Source organism: Homo sapiens, chromosome 7 (genome assembly GCF_000001405.40).
Source record: "Homo sapiens chromosome 7, GRCh38.p14 Primary Assembly".
NCBI classification, from domain to species: Eukaryota; Metazoa; Chordata; class Mammalia; order Primates; family Hominidae; genus Homo; species Homo sapiens.
The window spans coordinates 80,312,457-80,319,309 of NC_000007.14; the positions used below are offsets into that span (position 1 = coordinate 80,312,457).

General features: G+C 39.8%; 1 pseudogene; it reads left to right on the top strand.

Annotated features, from left to right (window-relative positions):
- RN7SL35P (RNA, 7SL, cytoplasmic 35, pseudogene) lies at window positions 5,797-6,088 on the top strand (annotated as a pseudogene).

Genomic DNA, 6,853 nt, shown 5'->3' on the forward strand with positions numbered 1-6,853 from the left:
ACAGGCTCAGTCCCTCACCTCAATTTAAAACAACTCTAGAAGTTCATTCAGCTCTAGGGCTCCAAGTAGGATAAGCTGAGGCCTCACTTGTAACTGCAATGTGAGTCAGCTTCTCCCTCTGTCCAGTCTTGCCTCCATCTTCACTTCCTTTAGGTATATTTCCTGAGGGCATTCTCCAATAAACCTTCTACCTGGAATTCTCTGTTTCTAGAAGATCCAGTCTAAGGCACTGAGATAAACTGGAGGGATTCAAGTGCTTTCATATGGAGCCTGGGGAAAATTTGAAACAGTTTTCATATGCAAGGTAATACAGCACAAAGTTTAGAAGGAAATTTAGATACTAAATACATGTAAAATTTGCAAAAAAGAATTGTTGAAAACCTTTAATGAGAAACTTGAGCTTATATCTGTTTAAAAATTGGATTTTATGCTTGAAAGGGCTACACACAGCTCCTTATCAAGACTTTTTAATTACATTTTCAAATTCTTAATAGTCACCATCAATAAAAATCTGCTTATACAGACATGGACAAATCATTTAAACACATTTTACAACCATTCAAAAATTTGGGACTTGTAACCTGTACAGACCTGGTGGACTGAACAAAGGGGGGCGAACACAGGAATCAAAGGCAAGAGACAAGAGTATATTTGTAAGAAGGGGTCGGGGGGCACCTTGCCTCTAGTGCACAAGGGCCCTGAGATTTACACAGCCCTCCATATTTATTAGGCAAAAGAGATCGGGGTGGGGGGTGTGATTGTTGGGTAATTGTCAGTCAGCAATTTGGTTCACAGCAGGCAAGACTGCATCCTTTGGATAATAGGTGCTAGATTTCTCAGTAGATAACTTCAAGGAGCCGGGTGCCAGGGAGTGATGTCCCTCAGCAAACCTTTTGGTGGCAGGGCAGTGTGAGTTTGCCCACATCCTGCATTCATGATAAACAGTTTGCTGTTTAATCATATCCTCCAGTGGACTACTGAGTTGGTCACATCCTACGGGCCTTCGGCTCCCTGCAGGGACTATTGAAGTTATATACATAGAAAGAATCCTACAGATCTTTCTTTCATTAATAATCTAATGATAGCATTTCTTGTGATAGTTATAATAGATTTCAAATCCATTTAAACTTTTTGAAATGAAGAATTTCAAATAATGGTAAATCTTTCATTTGTAGAACACACATAACATTGCTAGGGCTATGACGCAGCTACTAGCTTGGATGACTCTAAAATGCACCTGAATTGTAAAATGGACAGAACCCTCAGATATACGTGCAGACAGTTTTGCCCTTGACTTTGATCTGCACACCATACTCTTTGGGCACATGGAACATCCACAGTGGCTACTATATGGATGTCCAGTTGATAAGAGTATTTCTTTCCTTATAGTAGAGCAGTAAGTGCTGGATGTTTCTCCAGTTCACTGCTTGCAGAGACTTTGGACACACTGTCAAGTGGCACTCAAAAGTGCCACTGTCTGACGCACTGAGGAAGAAAGACTTGAGGCTCTAGAGACTATTCCAGACCCCACCCTGAGGATTTAAGTGATTTGTGTAGTGTGTCACATCTTGAACCCTCTTATAGCAGATCACTATGTGCTGCATACAAATTGGGTAGATCAGGAATACACTTCTACGAGTGTCAACTCAAATAACCAAGAGAGAATCCCAGGGAAAGATGTAAATATTAAGCACTGTAATTGGGATAAAGGAACTGAGATTGATTGTCCTGGCAATATACATATACAAAGTCAACGGAAGCTGGAAAACAGATGAACCTGTGGTAACTTGCTGAACAGAGCTGAGAAAGAAGACTACTCAGGCAGCAGTGGAGAGATTTGAGAATCCCCTAGATTTAAAGCAGAGAACCATCGAAATAGTCAGCAATAGGCAACACCATGTGTCTGTGAGCTAGGAGACAAGGGCAAGAAGCTAAAATGGAAAACTGAGAGAAACTGTTTGCAAAGCAGTTTGATCTCTAGTTCCACTTCTCCACTATCCCACTGGTCAGAGGACAAGGGATTTATTTCCTGGAGAAAGTATGACTGAGGGTCTTTGGCATGGGGATCAATCAACACTGATGATAGTGCTGCTATCCCACAGAAAATAGGGGATACAGTGACCAGATGTACATTATAGGTTGGGCTGAAATCTCCAGGCTTCTTTCTCCACTGAACTCTGAGAATACTTACAGCCAAACCTTTAGCCACCTGGCAGAAGACTGGCGGAGAACATTCTAGGAAATCTGACCAACTTAAGGGAAAAAAACTAAAGACACTAACCCATATGGTTCATCCACCAGCCATCTTTCTGCAGTGTTCAAAACCCCAACACTCAAACTCAATGTTTCCACTCAGATTTTAGGCTGTCTCCTTCTTTCATCTCTTTTGACTCAGTCCTGATCAGTTTTTATTCCTCTTCAGAGCAGTTCCTCTGAGTGCAGAACTCTGTTCTAGGAGGACGTTCTGCCAGGTCAATTTTTAGAGTGCATAAGGCGAGACTGCTCAAGCCCCTTCAATTTCTCCTTTCCACTCTCCCCAAAATTGTGGAGGGCATAGCCCTTCCTGTTCTCGAACTTGCCTGCTAAGCTTTATAATGAGTAGGTGTTGGCTATTTTGTGGGGTATTCTTTTCAGGTAAGTCAGAGGCTGTTCCCCTCTTCTTGTTTCCGTGGAAACACCAGTCCCATGCCGATCTTGACATTGTTAGAAATTTGTCCCCACCTGCTTCTGTTTGGGGATTCAAGGGGCACATTGTCCCTGAATTTTGTAGTAAATCTTTCCCATAGGGTTTTGATTTGTTTGTTTTTATGTAGGAATTCAAAACAATTTAAAAAGCTATGCTGCTATTGTTGCCATGTCCCTGGAATATGCCCTGTACCATTATTATTATTATTTGTTATAGTCAGGTTTATTGAGGTATAATTTACATACAGTAAAATTCATCCTTTTAAGGTGTGCAGTGAGACGAGTTTGGGCAATTATATAACTACCACCCAATCATAATGTAAAACATTTCCATCATCCAAAAATCTTCTCTCAAGCCATTTAGTAGTCAGTCTTTTTTGCCCACCTTAAGCCCCTTGGCAACAGCTACTCGGATTTCTGTCCCTGTAGTTTTGCTTTTATCAGAATGTCATATAAATGGAAGCATACAGTACATAGCCTTTTGTGTTTGGCTTCTTTCACTTAGTATAATGCTTTTGAAATTCATCGGTTTTATTGCAGGTGTTAGTAGTTCATTTCTACTTTTTGCTGAGCCGTATTCCATTGTATGGGCACCTCACAATTTGTTTATTCATTCACTTGGAGATGGACATTTGGGTGGTTTCATGTTTTTGGTTGTTAGGAACAAAATTGTTAAAAACATTTACACGCTGGTCTTTCTGTGGATATATTTCTTTTGGGTAAATATTTTGGAGTAGAATTGCTAGGTTGTATGGTAAATATATATATATATTATATCTTTATAGGAATCTGCCAAACTTGTTTCTTAAAGTGGTTCTACTATTTTTCATTCTTTCAATGTGCTCTCCTTTTTAACCTGATATAGTAACTGTAGCATATGTATCACTGAAAGTAAATCTATGAAAAACAATGTTATGAGGTTAAGGAAACAGAAATCCAATCCAGGAGAAATGTGAAGAAAATTCCAAGGATATCAGCAAAATTATTTCCATATGACACGTGTGTCTTTGGTCTAGAGAATGGTCAGTCTAAAAGCATTAAAATGGTGGTCTCCAGAAGGGATATCTCCAAGAAAAAAAAATAGTATCATGAGAGAGCCTGATGAGGTTGACTTTTTGAAAATTTGCTTATAGAGATTATTGGAAACTGTGGCAAGAATTTGGAGTGGATAAAAAGAAACTGAAGCAATAGAAAACAGAATCAAAGTCATTATTTACTCAAGGAAAAGGAAAAACCAGGAAGGGAAATATAATCATAGTGCACTACAATTCTCGGCTTTGAAGAACACTTTCACAGGCATAATAATGGAAACGTCAAATACTGATTTTACCCAAAATTATGAGATAATTAATTAGACATACACACTGGGTACAAGAAAGAGGAGAAATGGAGATGTTGTTGATGTAAGAAAATTAAATCCTTGTTTGTCATAAAAGGTACTCGGTGGCTAATATGTAAAATTAATAGCAGTCTGCACACATTTCACTTGAGAGACACAAATGCAAAAGAAACATTTAGAAGGTCAAATTTGGTTGGCTCAGGGGAGGCAAAGTAGGAGAAGTTGGGAGTCATAGGACAGGGAACCATCCTATATAATAATACTATTTGCCTTTGTGTGTATGTATCATGTTATAAAAATAAATAATTTTTAAGTAAAAATAAAAGGGTATCACGTGCAAGTTCACAGTCCTGGGACCAAATCAGTGAATACAGTATTTATGTCTAATTAGAATAATTGTCCATTCATTGAAAATTATGCGTATTTTCTTTTTAGGAGACACATAATGCTGTGATCTGTATGCAAAGCTCCCTTAAGATAAAATGCATTGTATTTCCTGATCTTAGGAACACTCAGTCAGCCACAGGTGATTGGAAAAATAACTGACTAATTCATTGTTTGGCCAGACTAGTCATAAACTCTCCCAATAATGTGAGTTGAGATAAAGACTTTGAAGTAAGTTAACAAAGAGACTGAGGCTGCTACTTTGGATCAAGCAGAGATTTATTAGGAAGAAGAGAAAGCTAGACTACAGAAAGAAGTAAAGCAGCATATACCAAAGGAAAAGACCCAAAAAGCAAAACAGAGATAAAACTAATCTCAAAATGGCTTTTGTCTCTTATTTTCTGGAGGACTTGATGAACCCAGTTCCCATATTTGATATATATCAGATCAGGGTCCTGAAATTAATCCCAATAAACACTGTTATTCTTTACCATGCCACATTCCCCACATTTATCAACATTTAAGAGATCCCAAAGAGAATCTTTGATAAGCAGAGAGGCAAATTCAGTTAGGAAACTTGCCCAATGATAAGAAAGTGACAGAGATTCCTGACCAACTTTTAAACCGGGTCCTCTGAGCCCAGTGGGGCCTCTCCTTGTGTGGAACCTCCCAGAGCTCAAATTTAGCAAGAATCTCTCTAAGTAGGTTTAGTCAAAATACCCCATCCTTGATGTCTAATTCCCCTTGATATCTGACCAAATTCCTCATCCCCCATCATCCCGCAGGTGATATCTGATCACACTGGCCTATCTTCAGCAAGAATCCTGTTAGGTCACTATATCCAGAATGTCCTCCTGTCCCTGATGTTTTCTCTTAATAGTTTTCCATCCACTGAGCTCCATCCTGCTCCTTGGCTATAAATTCTCACTTTTCCTTGTATTTTGAATTGAGTCTACTTCTATACTGAGGTGTCTTTTTCCTTATTGCAATAGTGTTTGAGTAAAATCTGTTTTATCTGCTTTAACTCCCACCAGTCTCTGGTTTTTTCTTTAACATTTATGGTAAAACAACTTGGATAGTATCAGATTCATCTTTGGACTCCTGAACTTCTCACTTGGGACCCAAATGTGCACATTTGAAGTCTTTGTTTTCACTCCTGACTGACCAACCAGGGATCCATTGATGAGTCTGACTTCTGAACCAGTGCTCCAGATGTCCCTTGAAGCACACAGTTAGGACAGATTTCTATTCTTAACATCGTGAGTATACTTCAGAAGCTGTGGGTAGAGCCCTTGATTTTTCTGTTTGTAAGAAGCTGTATTAGAGTCCTGGGCAAAGTGAAGTTGAATTAGAATCCTAGACTTGTCTCTGCAAGAAACAGAACCTGGGCTGTGTGTGGTGGGGCATGCCTGGAATCCCAGCTATTCAGGAGGCTAAAGTGGGAGGAGGGCTTGAGCCCAGGAGTTCTGGGCTGTAGTGAGCTGTGCTCATCGGGTGCCGCACTAAGTTTGGCATCAATATGGTGACCTCTCAGGAGCCAGGGACTACCAGGTTGCCTAAGGAGAGGTGAACTGGCCAAGTTCAGAAATGGAACTGGTTAAAACTCCTGTGATCAAGAACAGAAGCCAGATCAGAGTTGCAGTCTTCTCTATTCATAAGTGTAGAGGTACCATTACTTAAGAACATGGGAGCTTCTCAGTTGACTGGAAACTCCCTTCTAGAACCCCTGCTGAATTGTGCTCCACCAACTCTCTCTGCTTTCTTTCTTGTTAGCATGATTGTACTAAGGATAATATGGAGCTTCAGTGGCCTCTTTGGGAAACTTAAGTTCTCCTGACACTGGTGGCTTCTCTAAGCCCTCTACCCCTCCCATTGCATTCACAACTCCTTTATCCTTGTACCACCCTTGACCATCCCATCAGCTCCCTTGAATCCTTCAGTGTGTCCACTTCAAATCTTTGCCTTCCCTATCCCCGCTGTCCACGCTGCCAGACTTTTGACTTCCCACTTCAGCCCCCCAGTCACTTGAACTTCAGTCCCTCTGCCCTCAGTGGGAACTTTGAAGGGTCTCTGGACCTCCAAAAGCAAATTTCTGAGGTTGGAAAGAGAAAGACAGAAAAAGGGCTATTAATAATTGGAAAAAGAAAATTGAGTCCACAGCCTCCATCAGATTATATATTAGGGCAAATGAAAAATCTTAAATGTCTCCCCTACAGATATTGGTAAAAAGCATTAGGCCTCATGTTGAGTAGGTGAAGTTAAATTGCTCCATCTGTCAGAAACACATTTCAGATAAAAATACAAAGTGGAGTAAAGAGGGGCAAAGTATTCATTTAAACCAGTGAGTTTTGTCTTGGTATCTTTAACTCATGGCTAAAATTTTAGAATGAAAGCTATAAGATTTTTGTTTTGTGTCTGTCTGTCTGTATGTTTATGTATGTCTAA